Source organism: Homo sapiens, chromosome 14 (assembly GCF_000001405.40).
Source record: "Homo sapiens chromosome 14, GRCh38.p14 Primary Assembly".
In the NCBI taxonomy this organism is placed as follows: Eukaryota; Metazoa; Chordata; class Mammalia; order Primates; family Hominidae; genus Homo; species Homo sapiens.
Genome location: NC_000014.9, coordinates 39833170 through 39854430, shown reverse-complemented (window position 1 = coordinate 39854430; position 21261 = coordinate 39833170). Strand labels below are relative to the sequence as shown.

Here is a 21261-nt window from a genome sequence, read left to right as displayed (position 1 = left end):
CTCACAACAATCTCCATACCTCATTTCTACACCACCTTGGCATCTCGTGAATTGTACCACGCATACACCATTCTCTCAGTGACTAATTCATGTTGGGACGTAATCCATTCAATTTGCCTAATATAGCATTTAATTATAGGTACTATCAATAGAACTGTAAGCAGTATTATCTCAACCATGCCCTGCTCACGGTCCCAGACACAGTCAGCTGAACAAGTCTGATAAACCACCAGATGGCTTTCTCCTTAGGTCTCTGCATTGATCTTTCTGCTTGCCTCAAGGCATTCATTCATATACAGCAGGATGTATTAGTGACTGCACAAACTCTGCCTTGGCCCACAAGGAAGAAGCCAAGTAAACTTTTATCATCCAAAACATCTCTTGTGGAAGTATGTTTCTTTCAACCATCACTGGAATATTTAATGAATACAGATAACAAAATAACCCAGGCCAGTGAGTTCAAGCTGGTTTGAATGGCTTATAGAACCAAGATGTTGTTATTGATCACTTTAGCTAATGTCAGAGACAAATTTATTATCAGTTTTTTTTAAGTGGATAACCCATGTTGCAGGTAAAACCACCCACAGTAGGGACATAAATAATGTCAGTTGTTCCTCCACAAAGCTGTCTAAAGTAACTAAGGGTAGTTTCATTTAAGAGATCTCCACAATTGTCTGAGAATTACATGAGCCATAGTGTTTCCTTAAACATGTGCAGGTCTCTTATTACCGCCCATAAGGAGCAGGTCACTGTGTTTAGGGAGGGAAGCACTACCACAGATTAATGTTGCTTGTCCTAGACCATAATTGTCATAATGTACTCAAACAGTATGTACTCCCTTGTGTAATTCTTTCACTTAGCATAATGTTTTTGAGGTTCATGCATGTTGCAGTAGCTTGTTCCTTTTTATTGCTAAGTAGTAATCTGTCATATGACTATACATCAGTTTATCTATTTTCTTGATTGATAAACATCTGTATTTTTTCCAGTTTTTGGACATTGTAAACAGGACTGCTATAAACATTTATGCAAAGTCTTTTTGTGGACATAAGTTTTCATTTCTCTTGGGTAAACACCTAGAAGTGGAATTGCCAGGTCATAGTAGAGGTGTATGTTTACCTTTAAAAAGAAATTGTCAGACCTTTTCCAAAGTGGTTGTACCATTTCCACTCTCGCCAAAAAAGTATTAGAGTTTTGGTTACTCCAAATCCTTGCCAGCATTTGGTGTTGTCAGTCTTTCCAGTTGTAGCTATTCTGGTAATTTTGAGGTAGTATCTTATTAGTATTTTTTCCTATGTATTTTAAAGTTTGTTCCTTTCAACCATCACTGAAATATTTAGTGAATATAGAGAATATAAAAAGAATAGGAAATTAATGGAAAAATGTTGCTAGATGTATAAGCCCTTTCCTCAAATACTACAATCCCATGTGATGTTCAGAGAGCAGGGTGATGAGCAAGGAACATCTGGAATCCAGGCAGAATAACATTCAAATCCCAGATTTGTGACTTAGTAACCTGGGGTTCTTTTGTATATTACATAAAATCTCTTATTTTCAGTTTCCTGATAAAATTATGGAGAAAAAATGCTTAAAATTATGTTCAGCATTAAACACAAAATTATAGTTACAGTTTTGATATGAGACAGCCTGAGCCCATTAGCTGTGACTGTAAATTTTGCTTAACTTTTTTACATGTCTGTTTCTTCACTTATAAACTGGGAAAATAAGTCTAAACAGAGTATGCTTGGCATGGCTTCAAAGATATATAATAGTAACCAACTTCTATGATTTGAATGTGTCCCCCAAAGTTCATGTGTTGGAAATTTAATTCCCAGTGCAACAGTGTTAGGAGGTGGGGCCTAATAATAGGTGATTAGATCATGAGGGTTCTGCCCTCATGAATTAATTACTGTTGTTATCATGGTAGCAGGTTACTATAAAAGTTAGTTCAGCTTCCTTATTCTCTCTTGCTCTCATGGTCTCTGCCCTTCTGCCTTCCCCCATAGGATGACATAGCATGAAGGCTGTCACCAGGTGCTGATGTCATATTCTTGGACTTTCCAGTTCCCAGAACCATGAAGCAAATAAACTTCTATTGTTTATAAATTACCTAGTCTGTGGTATTCTGTATTGGTATTCTGTAATAGCAACACAAAACAGATGAAGACACCAACATTTCTAGAAAACTTACTACGTACTATGTTTAGCAATATACATGGATCATTTCATTCAAATCTCACAAGTTCCACAAGCTTAAAAGGCGGGTGCATCATTATCTCCATTTTGCAAGGGCTTTGCAAAATCTTGTGACTTGCCTCAGCTTTCACAGCAAGTAGCCATACTCTGAAACCTGTGAATACATTATCTCCACTAAAAAAAAAAATGAAAAAGCTAATTCTGCTTATCGCTTATTACAGTGATAGTCTCTGTTTCCTTTTATTACCCTTTTTCTAACACATTTTTAAAAGCTAAAAACACTGTTGAATTCAAAGACTAGGCGGCTGTTTGGAATAAAATCAAATAAAATATATTTGATTAATTACTTGATCAATTATTGTGCTAGACAAACTTCTAGCAGTATTTCTGCCCTATTATATCAGTCAACAAACATAAAACAAAATGCTATAATACAACAAGTTGGTGAAACAAATGTTGCAAGCTGAGAGTTGGCCATAGGTTGGCTAGTGAGCATCAATGGCAACCTGGGGTTCTCTATATGGTTCCATGGGCCTGCAAGTAGTAAAGGGTAAAAGGGCCTTGAACTATTTATTCCTTAACTGAGTTCTTCAGCCTTCCTTTTGGAAATGCATACAAACAGATCATCATCTTCTATCCCATGCCTATCACTACTGGACAAGAATGTAATTTTTATCAGAAGGCACCATCTGCCTTGTGCAGCTCATCTAGGGTATTTCTCATCATATCTCATAAAATTAATCACCAAACAGCACCTAAGCAAGAGTGAAATGCGAGGCAAAATGCACAGTTCACCACAGTGCAAAATCATCTAATCCCTTAAGAAAAAATTGCAAGTTCATTGCTTGTTCTGTAATCCATCAGCAAGGTCTGCAAACCATTTAAGCTCAGTCATGCACAAGTGATTACAGAAAGAACCATACACAAAATAGGTTTTCATATTAAATGGCTATTGGAAAGTTATGTCCCAGCTATATTCCTGTGTTTTGAAAAGGAAAATGGTCACATGAAACATCAATCAACAGCTTGAGCTCAGTGAAATGACTGAAATAAGCATTTATAAATAAATGAATCCAACTGGCTAAAAATGAAGAAGTAACTTATTTAAAGTTCCAAGGTCTTTACTTATGAGAGTATGATCAAGCTGTGACCAATGATATGAAAAGATCTGCAGATTGTATATTATCATAGAAATGAAGATGTCACTCCAAGGTTAGCCCCATTTGAATTTATTGATGATGATAGTCTTTAACGCACAAGGCTAAAATGCTTGAATGCTTTAATTGAGTTACAACCTTATGAGTAAAAAGCATATGATGAAACACTGAATATATAAAGGAGAATTGTAATAAAATAAGAAAAGGAATACAGCTGCTAAAGAATTGTTGCCCTTGCCTTGACTTGAACAACAATAACAAAAAGTTCTACTATTTGAAGAGCATTAGAAACATCTTTCACTGAACCAAAACAACAATTTGGAAAACACTCACTCATCCGGGGCTGAAGCTTCAGGTCAAAGAACACACAGAGAGCCATTTGGGAAACATTTTCCATCTTAGTCTCCCTAGGATGAATTAGGTGGCATCCCCTAGGAGGCCTTCCCTTCAAAGACTCAACAGCACCATACTCTGAGGTTAACAGGTGAGACCTGCTAGCAGGAGGTATAATATGTTTCATTTGAAATGATTCTTCTGTTACCTGTTGAGGTCTTAGCCTACTCCCCCAGAAGCCTCCATTAGCACACCAGGATAGTACTGCTATAGTTCAGAGGTCCAAATTATATCAAAGAAATTAAAAAGTAGCACCTTCCAATGTTGAAAAAAAAAATGTGTCCTAATGTATGGTGTTGTAAATCCCCACTGATTTTTCTTTTTTGAAATATGTTCTACAATACAGTGTGTATCCACAAATATGCCAATTGCTTATGAATGAGACATTTTTTGAAGAGTTTGATGGTAGCATTCTGATACTGCTTAGAAGCTTTGAAGAATTCTAAATGTATTAGGGTCCATACAGTATCTCTCTACATTTTCCTATTTAATGAGAGGATCAGATAAGAAATTAAGTCACTACAGGAACAGTAGGGTAGGTCTTAATAGCTGAGAAACAGTTCAGTCTGCAAATAATGCCACTTGGGTCTAAGAGTCAAATTTGGGTTTGGATTCTGCTAGCAGTATGATCTTGGGTAAGTTATTTAATCGTTTATACCTCTGTTTCCTCATCTGCAAGCTGGAGATAAGTAAAAATATCAGTTAAATTGGTTAACTGTGAAGATTAAATGAGATAACAATCATAAAACACTTAGGGCAGTGGCTGGCACATAGTACATACTCAGTCAATCTTAGCTATTATTGTTATCATCTCAGGTATCACTATTATTTGCAAAAGAAAAAGAGAACTTTTGCATGAAAATAAAATCACTCAGCTAGATAGAAGGCTCTTAAAGAGATGAGATTTATGCCAAAGATTCTTTTTTATTATTATTATTATACTTTAAGTTTTAGGGTACTTGAGGTCATTTCTTGTCCTTCAAAACAGAACAGAAACCTAAAAAGTGTATCCTCCTGTGAACCCAAAAGTATCTGAGACAGGTCTCAATTAATTTAGAAAGTTCATTTTGCAAAAGTTAAGGACACACCTGGGACACAGCCTCAGAAGTTCCTGACAACATGTTTCCAAGGTGGTTGAGGTATAGCTTGCTTTTATACATTTTAGGGAGACATCAAAACATCAAGTAATACATGGAAGATTTACACCAGTTTGATCTGGAAGGGTGAGACAACTAGAAGTGGGGGCTTCCAGGTCATAGGTAGATTTAAAATTTTTCTGATTGGCAATTAGTTGAAAGAGTTATTATCAATAGAAAAGAATGTCTGAGTGAGAACAGACTATAAGTGTTTCTTATCAGACTTAAGGTCTGTGTTGATGTTAATGCTGAAGGGTATAAAGAGGCAGGTCTGACCCCCTCTTCCATCATAAACTAGTTTTTCAGGTTAACTCTGGAATGCCCTTGGCAGAGAGAAGGGGTCCATTCAGATGGTTAGGGGAACCTTAGAATTTTATCTTTGGTTTACACTTCCTTCCATTACAATGTTTATCAAACTTTAATAGGCAAATGAATCCTCCGGGGATCTTGTCAAAATGAAGGTTCTGATTTAATAGGTCTAGGTGGGGACTGAGATTCTGCATTTCTAATGAGCTCCCTACTGATGTCAGTACTGCTGGGCCACACTTGGACTAACAAGGTTCTACAAGGCAAGTTCTCTCTCTCTCCTTTGCACATTACCAAATACCTAGCAAGTGATAAGACTTGAATCTAGGGGATCCTGGCAGGTCTTCAACGTATAGCTGAGTGGACCAATACCTCCACTGTTTCCTCCATATCCTTTCTAAGTACCATGTTCTGACCAGGAACTAATGAAAATTTTCCTTCTCCTGGCCAGGTGTGGTGGCTCATGCCTATAATCCCAACATTTTGGGAGGCCTACGCAGGTGGATCACTTGAGGTCAGGAGTTTGAGACCAGCCTGGCCAACATGGTAAAACCCATCTCTATTTAAAATACAAAAATTAGCCCAGTGTGGTGGCAGGTGCCTGTAATCCCAGCTACTCAGGAGGCTGAGGCAGGGAAATCACTTGAACACAGAAGGCAGAGGTTGCAGTGAGCCAAGATCATGCCAGTGCACTCCAGCCTGTGCAACAGAGTGAGATTCCATTTCAAAAACAAAACAAAAAAAATTTTCCTTCTCCCTTACCCCATTAAAAGAAAGTGTTCTAAAGTTTCCAAGCTTAACCACTGTATACTTTCTGTTAAAGTAGACTATTTTCCAAAATAGTAATCCATAAATAATTCAAACTATTTTCCAAAATAATTTATAGCATAGAAAGTAGTCAACTTTCACAGCAACAAAATTGGGTTGTTGGTTTCCAGCTAAACAGTACAGCTATTTCTTAATTCCTTTACCTCTTGCTCCAATCCCGAATACAAATAATTAACCAACCAGCTTTTGCTTGAACTACTTCACCAAATAATAGAAAATAGCATGTTGGCCAGGATGGTCTCAATCTCTTGACCTTGTGATCCGCCCACCTCAGCCTCCCAAAGTGCTATGATTACAGACGTGAGCCACCGTGCCCAGCCGAAAATAGCTCTCTAAATGTGATAAAATAGTACTTACAACAGTATACATATTGATGTAAGCTATTAATAAACTGCCTGATATGGGAACAAAAATAGATAACCTACTGAGAAACATTTAGTGGTTAGGAGTATGAGTTCCGGAGAAAGACTACCTGGATTCAAGTTCTGGAGCCACTACTCCTTGTGTACATGACAATGACCAAGTTACCTTATATCTCTGTCCCTCAACTTCTTCATCTGTAAACTGAGAACAGTAATAGTAGCTAACTCTTGGGAATGTTATAAGTGTTAAGTCAGTTAATCGGTTAATTTATGTAAGGTGCACAGTATTCTACCAGATAAGTTCTAAATGTTTAAATTATTAAGCAGTTTAAGTATGCATTTATTTAAACAGTAAGAGTATTTTAGAAAATAACACATATTTAGTAAAGATTTCACTGGAACATAAACCCACTGGCTTATATTGTTTATCATATTTATTACAAAACTCTATCGTTTTCCCACTTAAGACTCTTAGCTTTTCCCAGTGCCTCAGGAGATGGCTTTTCTGCATTTTTTTCTTAGCTTCTATATTTCCTAGTTAATATACTTTGAGTTTAAAACCCTAGATCACACAGTCTCATCAGAACAAAGAGGTTTCATTAAACAGAGGTGGAAAAATGACTCACTCTTCCATGTTCCTAATAATATTGAACATAGTCATGGGCTTTTACTGTGTTTGGGGCACAGGCATTTAAGAGCTCAACAAAGTAGAATGAATCATTTTATAAACACATAGGAAGTTCTTCAAAGGTTTCAGTGCATAATCAGGAGTCACTCCAGATTGGAACTCTTAAGAAAAAAAATATCTTGAGTAAATCTTGAAGAATCTTCAAAAAATACTGTTATTCAAGCTTGCTATTTTTCTCTTTCCAATGCTCATGAAGATTATTGCCCTTCAATATGTCATTGTAACAAGACTTCCCTTTAAGGAAGGAAACTTTGGGAGTGCTAGAGAACACAGAAAAGACAGAACCATTCTAGTTTGCTCACATTTAAGAGATTGTATTAGTACGTACTTGTACGTTCCTATGTAAGGTCATGGAGGACTCCAATCACCTATAAAAGCTGTACATCTTGACTACATTACATTGGGGGAAGAAGTTCTCCCATTGTAAGTTTTCACAATCCTCTTCATGTTTTAGTTCTACAGTGTCAGCATCACAAAACTCAAATACTATGACAAATAGCAGAAACATAATCAAGAGATTTGTTAAAAATAATAGTAATCTTCCCTTCCCCCATGTCATCCTGGATTGAAAGATCCCTAGTCTGCCTTCTTATTAGCTTTCAAGATCTTGTGGCATCTAGCATCCATGCATGAACAAAGAACAGTGTCCGGATGGATGGAAGTTTTACTTGACATCTTCCAACCAACAGTATTGATTATTGATCTCTCTCATTTCTGCCACCAAAAAATATATAACATGTCCAAGTATGGGAAAAGTGAAGACTACATATCCTAAGACAGAGGAATGCACAACTTTCTCTTTTGGTAGCCCTATTTAATAGGTAGGAAAACAAAGATGAGAAAGAATGATGATAGTATAATCTATAAAACCAAAAAAAAATTCTACTCCAGGCATATTTGTCTTCAGCATTCCTAACATTTAAGAAATGAATGCTGATTAAAACCTACTCTACATGATTGCCCAGTTGTTTGTTAGACACTCTCCCTTTTTCTTAGATGCTGTCAATTTCCCTTACATTGAAATCCACAAAACTCCTCCAAAAAGGCATAGTCTGTTTTGTTTTGTGTTTTGTTCAGGGATTAAACAAATTACAAGTGCTTAAAACATTGCCTTGGTTCTATAGACATGCAACCAAGGTGAAATAAATGAATAAATCCTATTTCTTCGGTGTTTGGGGAAAAATTGATGTGATATGCATTCAAGAGTTTGGAGAGAAAGTACGTGGCACATTATGAACATGAGCATCAGACAGTAGTCTTTTACTTTTGGCAAAAACATCTTAGAAGTGGTGCCAGGGCACACAGGTGCAGGTAATTTTTATTGGTAACAAGTTCTACACTCAATGGCTCATCTTGCTTTCCCTGCTGAGATGCAGGCTAATATCATATAGTAGCATATGGGCTCTGGGAGCACACAGAGGTTTGAATTGTGGCTTTACCACTCACTATCTGTGCTAGCTTAAGCAGAAGAATTACCCTAAGATCCAATTTCTTCATCTATGATATAGAGATAATGGTAGTTCTTACCTTTCAGGGTTACTGTGAGGATTAAGCAAAATAAAACTGATAGAGGTCTTAGTGCCTACCCATAGAAAGCACTAAATGAACATTAGCTCTAATTAATATTAACTCCCTAGAAGGAAAACTAGATGGGTCCAGAACACTCAATAGAGGCCTCTCTATAACTGGACATACAGAAATGGGGAAAAGAAGAGTAAGAAAAAGATATCACTTTTTAAGGTATTATCAAATTGTAATTACATTTAAAACAAGGCTTTTTCAACACTCACAACCAAACATAAAAATAATATAGCACATAAATGTAACAAGTGCTCCCTGGTGTACCTGCAGAAAGACATAGCTAAAATTTTCTCACATACAAAATACAGAAAATCATTTACACACAATACAATCAATACAACAGTAGTTGCATAGCATTGACAACTTTGCATTATCTCACAAAATTTGTGTCTTTGTGGATTATCAATTATGTTATGTTCAGGGTTTTGTACGCTAGCTGTATTTCACAGTCTTAGCTCAAACACAGAGACCTATTTTGATATAATTACCTCTACACAGGGAGTGATTCTTGGGGCAGCATCTGCTAATGCAATGGATTAAAGCCTGAATTATATTCCTAGGTGACTCTGCCTCCCCAGAACTCCTTCCTAATTTCCCTCATTAATATCTTATTGTATACATTAAGTCTCTTTGTGCTCTCCCTAAGAATGAATACTACTACTACTGCTACTATTTATGAAGGATTTACATTTACTAGGCACTAGGCAAAGCTTTTTTTGTACATTGCCTCATTCATTGTGGAAAGAGAATATACGTTATTTAGCTAGGTGTTACACAGTCAATAAGTACTGATGGTGGGATTTAAAAATAGATTAAATGATTCCAAAGACTCAACTTTTAACCATCATGTTATATTAAGACAATATTCCAGAAACTGCTACCCAAAAAAAACCCTATGCAGTTTTGGATAATTAAAAACTAAGTCAATATTTTATTCACATATAAAATTTCAGAAGTTTTTAGAATCATTCTGATGAAATAATTTATGTTTTTTCTTATAGGAAATTCAATTGAGTAATTTTCTGTGGCTGATTTTTTTCCCCAGAGAATTTAAATGAAATAATGCTATTTATTCAACTTGAATGTGTAAAACGAGTATTCCTTACACAGCAACCTTTGAATATCATTGATACGGGAACTTTATGTCATAAAATTATAACATGTCATTAAATGTTACGGATAATTAGAGTAAAACAAAATTCAGATTAAACCATGAAATTTATGATTAATATTATTCATGAAAGAAATAGACAAATTTCACTCTATTGTTTTAATCCTTGCTCATAATATTTCTTGTATTCTATAATAATGATTCTAAACATCTGGGATAGTCACAAGCCCCATTTAAATATCAGAGGAAGGCTATGGGTCCTCTCTTTTAAAACATATGTATATACACATACCACAATGTTCTATATAATTTTAAGGAGAGTTTGTTGGGGTGATCAGACCCAACACCAGGTCATGGGGGTGACAAAGTCCAGCAGAGCCAAAGGATTGAGAAAAAGACAGTTTGAGAGAGAAAGGTGGGACCTCAGGGGGCCATCGCGATCGTGGAGGCTATGAAGGCCCTGAGCTCTGGGAGCCCACGCTGTTTATTGGTAATCCAACAAAGAAACAGGTGGTGAGAATGTGGAGGTCTAAAGGGCACATTGCATTAAGCACATGATTTACAGCTGTGATGGTTTAGCATTTGCTCTGCTACTTGAGAATAATGGAGAGCAGGTTCTTTTAACTAAAGATACAATCGATCCTGGGAGAGCAAGGAGCAAGGAGTCAGCAAGTCTAGACACACTCCAGAGCCATGAGCCCTGGATTCTATACAATCCATGAGGGGTTTTATGGCCTGGGCTCAGATTATGGTGTATCAGGGTATTCTTCCACCCTTTAGCACAGAGCTTGGCGCTCCAAAGGCCACAGGAGGTTTTAGACCCTGGACCCCAGACATGTTCCAGGACTCTTTTACATTATGTCAGACATGCAAGCCCTGCCTCAGCTTCTCCCAACACTCAGCTTTTCCCAAAAGAGTTGATAAGAATCTCTTTTCTAGATCATTTTCAATGAGTTTGTATTGGTAGAAAATACTAGTATCTAGATTTATTCTGTATTCCAGTTGTCCATGAAGAAGACAAATGACACCTGGCTGTAGAACTTAACAAGATATGTTGTCCATTAAGTGAAAAGTGCCCAGCTTTCAGGCATGAGATACAAGAATAAAGCTTCTTCAACAAGATTACTTCAGCACAGCATGTGTCAAATAAGCTAAACCACTCTATTACCTCTCAGAAATTATAGCTGCATTATCAATATCCAAAGAACTTGTCTACAATTTACATTTCCAGAACTGGGCATACAATAGAGATAATTTCAAACAAAGATGTCTTTATTTTCCCTGGGATAGACATGAAGATGAAGTAGAAAAGATTCTACTGCACACATATTTTTAAATGACTAAATAAGTCCACATATCTGCGAAAGACATTTCTAATTTCTTTATCATAGATAAAGAAATTTCTAATTTCTAATATCATAGATTCTCTCAGGTTGCAAGGGAGATACCTACACACCTTAGGTAATATTCTTTGCGTGTGTGTGTGTGTGAGGAAATAGATACTTAAAACTGTAAGCCCAAAGTCACAGCTAGATTTCACAGAACTTAAATGTCATCCCACTTTCCATACTCTCTCAGTGGTTTCACACAGCTTCAACAGTTTCTTATACCAAAGTTACTGTTACAACTACAGAAAATGCTTTAAAAGAACAGGAGGAACAGATGTGTGTTTAATCCTTTTATTTCTCATGCCTAAACTCACATTCTTTTCAATTCTCTAGGTTATTTTCCATTAGTTTAACTTACCGAAAAGTGATTTGGGATGAAGAGACAATTAAACTAATCCAAGTTGAAAGAAGGTGATCTAATTATGAACCATGGAGCCTCATTCTCATAAAGAAGATTCTAAAAATGGGTGAATATTTAGATAATTTTAAAATAATTATATACTTAGAGTATATAATGGAAGGTTGATTATCTAATGACCATCAATAGTGAGCAAATTATTAGATTATACATATGCTAACATTTCTTTTCTTAAACTGAAGTTCTGTTTATTTCCATTGATTAATATTATTCCATCAGTGCAGTATTTAAGAACCTAACAATTAAGAGAAAGCAGGAAAGGGGAGAGAAGCAGTCAAATGGGAAGTAAATACAAAAGCAATCTCTCACGTTGACAATGTTCTCATGTATTAACAGAGACCTAAGATGTGTAGCCATTAGTTCAATAAACAATTATGATTAAAACATAACTATCAGCATAGGTCAAAATTTCCAAACTTCGATGATAGTAAATTTTAGCCTAGAGATGTTTAGAATTACTATTTGTCAGCTTCAGAAATACTATTTAATATGACCATTACTTATGTACATGGATACATTAAAATCTAGAGCCATATGTTTTTGCCAGTATGCACAAAATATATTCTTTGTGAAACTATATTGTGCCTGAGGCTTCCTGTGGCACACCATTTCTGATTGTGAAATGTCAGTTGTTTCCCTGTGACTTGTTTTCAAATTGCTTTCCTATCACATTGTTGAAAGCTTCAGTCTCTTCATCATTTCAGCTGATTTTCACCTCAATAATTCTATGTCTTTTACTTCCTCCAATTCATCCAACTTACTCTAAAGTAATAGGGTAAACTTTTGCTCAAATCCTTCATTGGCTTCCCAGTTGGTACTCAGTGTAGATGTGGTATAGCTTTCTGTATTAACTAGTCTTCTCAATATAACATTGTGAAATGAGTGGTTACCTTGTATTTCAACTATTGCCAGAAGTCATGAGAAACAAAGAATCTATCAATGTTTCATGAAATTGATTATATGGAGGAGCTCATAAAATTTGGCAAGTTTGGATGCACTGCATTTGGGGGGATTGCACATGGTGTGACTTTCATATAAGACTTGTGTGGAACAGAGTCTACGACCTAAAATGACAGCAGATATATGTAAACAAAATTGAGATTGGTGCCAGCTGTGTACAAACTGAATATATTGCAATTAAATCAGTTAACCTAATACAAAAATGGCAAGAAATAAACCTCTGGAATTCACATGCATGTTCCTTCTGTCAAATATATATATATATAATTTGAATATTTGATGCTAGGGGCATATTAACATAAAATATCTTACTGGGGACTAAGTAGTCTGCTATGCCCCAACCTCATCCACTTAGAAAGCAGCCACCATGTTAAGAATATTGTGGAAATGTTAATGCTAGTTTATTTATGCTCTGTGGTAAAGGAAAAATTTTAGGTAAATTTGACAGTTTATTTGGGCAAAGAATGATTCATGAGTCAGGCAGCAATCAGAACCACAAGAGGTTCAGAGAGCTCCACCCAGCAGAATGAGCAACAAGTTGGTATAGGCCACACATGGAAGCAAAGCAGAGAAATTACTTAATAGGCCACAGCTAGGCATCTGCCTTATTTGAGAATGAGCTGATCAGTTGGCTGCCTGTGACTGGCTGAAGTATAGCTGTTTGTGATTGCCTGAAACTCAGCTGTTGGTTACTAAATATACTCCTAAATTAGGTTTCAGAGGTTTACATACTAAGTTAGGTTGTGGTTTGTTATATAGGAACTCAGACTAATGGCCTCCTGCTTATTTTGCTTTAAAACCTGCCAGAAATCATTTTAAAAGCAAGTTGCCCAAGTTCATACATAATGATACTGTATGTTTCTACCCCACCCCACTACAGAGACATCCTTAGCCTCCCTTCAGTTATGCTATAAAATATGCCAAGAACATGAGGCCAAGGCAAAAGACAAGCTGATCCAGATGTGTGTCTTGCAGAATGCCAGTAATGCTGGCTGCTATAACAACTTACCATAGACTGAGTGGCTTATAAACAATAGAAATGTATTTCTCACAGTTCTGGAAGCTAGAAGTCTAAGATTGGGGTGCTAAAATGGCCAGGTTCTGGCAAGAGCCCTCTTTCAGGTTTCAGACTGCCAACTTCTTCCTGTGCCCTCACATAGTGGAAGGGACAAGGATCGTTCCAGGGTCTCTTTTATAAGTTCACTAACCCCATTCCCAAAAGCCCCACCTCCTAATACAATCAGCTTGAGGGTTAGGATTTCAACATATAAATTTTGGAGGCCCATAAACATTCAGACCATAGCATACAAATATAAAATTTCTGCTATTTTCACTTTATTCCTATTCCTTGAATGAATCTATCCACACTCATAGTTTTGATTAACCACTGCATGCTAAAAATTCCCAAATCTGTATGTCAAGCACTTTTCAATCTCTGATTTTTCTAACTTCTTTATCCAACTATCCACAGGATATTTCCAGCCAAATGTCTCTCAGTCATACCAAACTTAGTATTTCTGTAACTGATCTTGTGTTTCATCATACCCATGTCCAAATGCTACTTATGTCAGTTTGGGTCCTCCAAGAAGTAGAAGCCACATTGAGATTAGAGGTGCAAGAGATCTGGAGGGAGAAACACCTGTGAAGGACAAAGTGGGAGGGAGCTGGATAGCCAATGAGACCCTTCAGACTACAATGTGGATCTGATGCCTGTGAAAGGAGAGGGTAGACAGGACAAAGCGGGAGGGAGCTGGATAGCCAATGAGACCCTTCAGACCACAATGTGGATCTGATGCCTGTGAAAGGAGAGGGTAGAGGCAGGGTTGGCTAGAAAGGGCCTGATACTGCACTGCAGTTCTGAGTCCTAGCCACAACAATGGGAAATCTTTGAGCAAAATTGCCCATGGAAGAATCCCACACCAGGCAGGAATGGCCTGACTCTGGGGCTACCATAGTGATCAGGCATTGCTCATAGCAGCTCAGGGATCCCTTGCCATGGTAGATCCAAAGGCACCATAGTTGAGGCTGTCAGTCGCTACATTCCCTGCCATGGGTATGCTTGAGAGGGTACATAGGTGACACATCAGCACTGCCCTCACACTCGTCATTCTCTCTCATCTGGTGGTCCCACCATCCTTCCAATTTACCCACATTAGTAACCCAGCAGTCATCCTTAACTCTTTTTCTCTACTTCCACCTAAATCCAATAAATTAAATTTAATTTTATTAAATTTATCGAGGCCATCTTCTCCTCCCATCTCCTACTCCACCTGTCCCTGCTCAACCCCCATCCCCTCCCACCTGCAATACTAACTCCCTAACTCATCTTATTTTCCTCAAATCCACCCTACACATAAGGTCTGCCAGAGAGACCCATGTGCTTAAAACCAAATCCTGCTATGGCTCCCCATTTCCAACATAAATATATTTATGCTCTTACAGACAGAAGTGAGGCCCCACTACATATGACTCTTGCCTTTCTTTCCAGCGTGATCTCCCCCTTTTATTCTGTGACCCAGTAACACTAAATGCTGTTTTACCACTCTCATGTGGTTGCTCTCATTCTCCCTTCTGCCTAGTGTTCCCTTCTCATATTCCTATCCCTGACTCATTCTTAGGAGTATTAATTCTTTAAGATTCAGCTCAGACATTATCTAATTTAGGAACAATCCCCACCCCGATCACACCTGGTCATATGTATACTCTCTGGTCTCACATAAAACTCCGTGTGCTTTCTAGATTACATTATAAATGTTCGCATCTCACTTCTCTAAGAGGCTGTTTCCTCAAGGCATAGTTTTATTCATACTGATGCTCCCCACATTTAGAAAAGTGCCTGGTACATAGGCCAATAATCAAGAAATTTGGTTAAACAATTATTGGGAGGAGAAAGAGAAAGAAATAAACAAAAAAGACTGTTGGATGCAAAGTCTGTGTCAAGTGCTACAAATATTTACCCCCTTTAATTTTTACAACAACCCTGTAAAGTTAGATGCTATATCTCCACTTCAAAGACTAGGAAATTTCAGCTCAGAGAGGTCAAATAAGGTTCTGTGATAGAAACCCAGTTATTGGACTCCAAAGCCTCTTTGCCATGCTGCCCTTCTTCATGGTCCAGTTGAATTCCACTGAGTAAATCTCCTGGTATAGATATCTCAGATTATACTCAACAACACAACAGGCCATACTGAGAAAAGTAGGGACTTTAGAGTTAGTCAGACCCAGTTTTCCACCTACCAGCTGTAGGTATTGGACAAATTATATAAACTTTCTGAAGTTCAGTTGTTTTTCTGTTTGAAAAAAGAAAAGGTGTATCAATACCTACTATGCAGAGATCTTTGTAAGGATTAGAACAGATATCTATGACCTAGCATGATGCCTGGTGAAGATTAAGCATTTAATAGTTAGCAGTGGTAGAATGAATTATTTCATCCAGACACAGCCAAGATACTCACAATTAGAGAAATGACCCATCATATGATAGTCCTGCCCTGTCCCCTCCTCAGAGAGTTGTGGTAAGAAAGGACTACAAACAGTAAGTCAACAGAGGGAAGGGAATGTTTAAAAAGAAAGACTTTTATAACCATTAATGGGCTGTCCTAGCCTGCTTGGGCTGCTGTAACAAAATATCATAGACTAGGTGCCTTAAACAACAGAAATATATTTTCTCACAGTTGTAGAGACTGGGAACTCCAAGATTAGGGTGGCAGCATTGTCGGTTTCTATCAAGGGCCCTCTACCTAGCTTGCAGATGGTTGACTTTTTGCTGTGTCTTTATATGGTGGTGAGAAAGAAAAATCTTCTTTCTTCTTCTTATAAAATCATGAATCCTAGCAAGTTAGGACCCCTACCTTATTATCTCATTTAACCTTAGTTACTTAAAAGCCCACCTTTAAATACAGTAGTCACATTGGTGGTTAGAGTTTCAACATATGAATTTGGGGTTGGGGGAACACAATTCAGTCCATTGCACAGGGTAATTAAATCTTGGAAAATTGGTAAATAAAAATACAGCTTAAAATGACTATCTGAAGAAAAATGTATTCTTTGTGGGTATGTTAGACAACTCAAACAACCATAAACAATTTTGTTTCTCTTCTGTGTATGTCTACAATAGGAAAAGCATCTTTTGAAAAAGAAAGGGATCTCCTTGGGAAGATATTATTTGATATTTGGAGGCAACAAAAATGCTGCAATATGGAAGAATTCTGTTGAGTGTTTTTTATTTACATCATAAACTAAAAACTATTCTGACTGGGTTACCTGTATATTGACTAAAGGTATAAGGCTTGGAAAATGTCTTCTTTCTTGATGCCTTCTTCCTTCTTGTAGCAGCCGGTTGCACTGTGAAAATGCAAAGTCTTTCAGCAGTCCGTCAAGGTGGCTGAAAAACTCAGAATTCTTGCTATACCCCATTTGTTTTTTATTACCCTATTCATTTGTTCTGTTGGGCAAAGAATTTGAAGCTAATTTATACCTCATCTTAATCTAAATCTTGACATCTTCAAAATTTTACCAGATCTTTCAGAGCAATTTAAAATCAATTTGAAAGCAAGTCCACACTGAAAAAGCAAATCTGGACCTGCCCAATTATTCAGTGATCGTTAAAACAATGGAAAGGTGATGGGAAGGCAAGCCAAGAATGAAGGCAATTTGTGCATGTTCAAGAGTACTAGTAATGCTCTGTTCAATCGCAGAACTAAAGTAGGAACCTGGATGTTTCTGTGAACATTTCTAACTATTTCTGTCATTTTGTTAATAAAATTCTAAATAAATTATTTGCATTTTTGTCAAAGCTTAAGAAGATGGGTTATGGGTAATGAAAATTTTGGAAACAGTTAACCTACTGTTCTTTTCTTGTATATAAGATTTATAGGATTATTTATCCTGAAGTGTTACTGAAAGTATTAAAAAACTAACCTGCTCTAAAATGCTTCTATTTAAAATAATTACTGTCCATGTAAATAACTTTTTCGATATGTAGAGTTTCAAAATATTTGCTAAAGTGAGATGTGGTGATGGCATGTTTTCTACAGCTCACCCTGGCCCAATTTGGGCTATCCGGACAGAAGTTGTCATTGGTAGTCAAAATGACATGACAAAAGTGGTGCTGACCATTTAAGAGTTGGGCAGTTCTTTCTATTTGTATATTTTGGTGGATAGCAATTGTTTTAGAGCTTGACTTGCCTTGCAATTAGACAAATATATACCAACTCTAAGGTAAGAGAGCATTTTGTTCAAATACAAGACAAGATTTTCTCTTGAAATTGATAGGTATTTCTAACTCAGTGCTGAAAGTATTTCAGAAGTGACTACCCAATGGGCATCACAAGGTTGAGAACCAGCCATCTATCCATTGATTAAGTCACCTTTCTGAGACAGTTTAATTTATGGACACCAACCAATTTTTAGCCATTCTCCAGAGCTATATCAGATTCAGATATGGTACTCTACTGTTCCCTCAGCAAACAATGGTATCTTTCTCATCATGCTATTCACCTTTTCATTAGCTTTAAAGTGTTCTTTACTAGACTGAGGAGCCACACTGCCTATAACTGGCACACTAGGATGACAAAAATAAGATCTGACTTACTAGAATATATCTGTCTTTAATAATATTAAAGAGAAGCTATGCTTTCCTGTTAAATAATTTCTCATAATATATTTCAATGAAAATTGAGGACATAGAATAGTACATTTCCCAAGACAACAGCATTATCAAACATAAGCAAGAAAAATAGAATAGTTACTATTGAATGGAAATCTATATTTATGTAGTCTAATTACGGCATAGTATTTACAGCAATAAAAGAAGGCTCACTAATGACCAGTCTTCCTGCTGAAAACATGAATTTTTTAATTTCTGTAGCACTACAGTCTGAATTTTTGTGTCTCCCCAGAATTCATATGTTGAAATCCTAGCCCCCAAAATGCTGATATTAAAAAGTGGGGTCTTTCAGAAGGTGATTAGGTCATGAGAGTAGAGATCTCATGAACGGTATTAGAAATCTTATCAAAGAGGCCCCAAAGAGCTGCCTCACCCTTTCTACCATGAGGACACAGCTAGAAGGCACCATCTATGAGGAATGAGCCTTCACCAGACACCAAATCTGCAAGCACTTGATCTTAGACTTCCCAGCCTCCAGAGTTATAAGAAATAAATGTTTTTTGTTTATAAGCCACCCAGTCTATGACATCCTGTTACAGCAGCCCCAATGGACTAAGACATATAGCCAGGGTCCTCTTATCATTGAGTTATATAAAGTCAGAAGCACAATTCATCACAATATAAAAGTCCAAGGTGCCTTAACATAAGCAAGACAGAATGTCACGGCATGTCTAACTGTCCGTTTTGAGACACAATGGCCAGCAAAGCCCAAGTGAGATCAGCAAAACTTCCCAACTGACCTGTAAACTCATAAAGAAAAAATGCTCATTGTTTGAAGGCACTGAGTTGCAGGTTTGTTCGTTATGCAGCATTCTTGCCGCAATAGTCAACTGATACAGAAACATTCATTATTATAAGACATATCACATGCCATGCTGCAGAGTTTGAACTTTTATATTGAAGCTAATGAAGAGTCATTGAATGACTTAGCAGGAGACATTTATGAACAGTTTTAAGAAAAATTATTCTGGCAGCAATGTGACAGAGGGATCACAGCGGGGCAAACCTGGAGTTGTAACTGTAGAGATGAAAAGAACCAGATGTCAGAGTTGCTACTGGCTATCTTTACTCAGTAACAGAGAGTTGAGAGCAATGAAAAGATATCCAACCTTTGATGGGAAAAAATAGGTTTTACAAATTACATTCTATAAGTGTGATATTGATATCCTCCACTGCAAAATTCTAAAAGATTAAATTCACTAAGATCACTTTACACTCAATTAACCTTTCTTTTTTTAACAGGATTAATACAATGGTAAAATCACAGTTGATGACATAAACACAGTATATCTTAATTCAAGCCAAGGTCAGATGGCCATCTTTTGAAGTGATATGGAAAAACTTCAGTGAATGAGGAAATAACTTCTAAATTCCATTTCAACTCTTTTTTTCTAGGTTTCTATTGGGAAGAGACGGTAGAATATTTGAAACTGCAGTGCACTCATTTTTTTATAAGAGCCTACCACCACTGCTATCATCAAATTTAGAAGACTACCTTTGTTTTCTGAAACAAGCAAGAAACAAATTACAGAAACTAATCTGAAAGCCTTACTCACATATACCCATACAGAACACTATGTGATATATACAAATTCAACCAGTACCTCATTGTCCACATTTTACAGAAAAGGCAGAGAATATGAGTCCCAAGGTTTCTAGTGAACAAATTAGAATAGAAAATAGAACGAAAGTCATCTGTATGATTTTTTGTTTTTTGAGATGGAGTTTCGCTCTTGTTGCCCAAGCTGGAGTGCAATGGCAAGATCTCGGCTCACTACAACCTCTGCCTCCCAGGTTCAAGCGATTCTCCTGCCTCCGCCTCCCGAGTAGCTGGAATTACAGGCACATGCCACCACGCCAGGCTAATTTTTTGTATTTTTAGTAGAAAGAGGGTTTCACCATGTTAGCCAGGCTGGTCTCGAACTCCTGATCTCAGGTGATCCCCCCGCCTCAGCCTCCCAAAGTGCGGGGATTACAGGCGTGAGCCACTGTGCCCAGCCCTGTATGATTTTTTTCCCACCAAGTATCTATGCCTGCCTCTTGCTCCAATACACTAAGTCACAGTATTCTTTTAGTTTTAGGCAAGAATCATTTAACCTTTATTCACATTGCAATGACTATTTTTGAGCCCTTTTTGTTCCCAGATAGATTTTTTTTTTTTATTTCGCTTTGCTATCCAGGCCAAGTCTCACTTTAATCTCTTTAGAGTTTTTGCCTTCTTGTAAGCTTCTCCTGCTTTCTGCTTCTCGGGCTTATTCAAAATGTGAATCTCTTCCTTTTTCTATCCAATTCCCAAACCTAGCATTCAAAGTGAGTTTCTATATGGAACACAAACCTCAGACATCTGAGTGCCTTTAAAATTTCAGTATGCAATCAGAAATAATTTCTCCACACATTTGGTCTGTTTCAGTGCTTTGAAAATGATTACAATAAATCTGTGAATTATGTCTAGAACGTCTTTTTTTTCAGCCCATGGTTTCTTTTATTACTTTCAAAGTCTTGGATAATTTACTGCTCACCCCCTTCCAACTACCTTCATCTCTCATGGTAGCAGGTGACACAAGCCGTACAGATAATACAACACACACTTCCACCATGGGCAATAAGCTCCTTTTGTGTAAAGCTTCTCATGAATTAATCTTTTCTAAAGGGTAAGGGTGTTTTTTTCATTTTTCAAAACAAAAATTTATAAAGAATTCATAGATTACATTGTCTTCAAAGTATTTCCTACTCTGCACCCTTGCTCTCCTTAAAGTTTATAGCTGAAAATAAAATATATTCAACATCTGCAAGATTCAGAAATGTTCTTTGCCAGTTATTAATACAGTAATCAACCTTATTAACAGCTACTTAAGATCATGAAAATAACACACAAAGAGGTAGAGATCTATAACATAAAGAATGTAGAATATAGTGTAGTTATTATGTGCCTTGTTTAAAGCTTATAAAATGGAAAATATGAAAGTAAATGTTTATTGTTTTATATTCACAATACAGAGAGAAGTCGTGAAAATAGATCAGAAAGGCTAATGACACTACTAACATGTTACTAATTATTTTTCTAGTCTT

At 36.9% G+C, this 21261-nt stretch overlaps 1 long non-coding RNA gene across 2 annotated transcripts in view, besides 1 other annotated feature; it reads right to left on the bottom strand.

Annotated features, from left to right (window-relative positions):
* Positions 1-21261, bottom strand: part of LOC105370461 (uncharacterized) — a 433650-nt gene that overhangs the window by 11568 nt on the left and 400821 nt on the right. The gene's annotated exons all lie outside the window — the stretch shown is intronic.
* Positions 5689-5862: a silencer, noted in NCBI's record as "fragment chr14:40317773-40317946 (GRCh37/hg19 assembly coordinates)". NCBI's record gives its function as "represses an EF-1alpha promoter that drives an FKBP-Casp9 reporter gene in an ReSE screen in K562 erythroleukemia cells {active_cell/tissue: K562}" and the evidence as "EXISTENCE:reporter gene assay evidence [ECO:0000049][PMID:32094911]".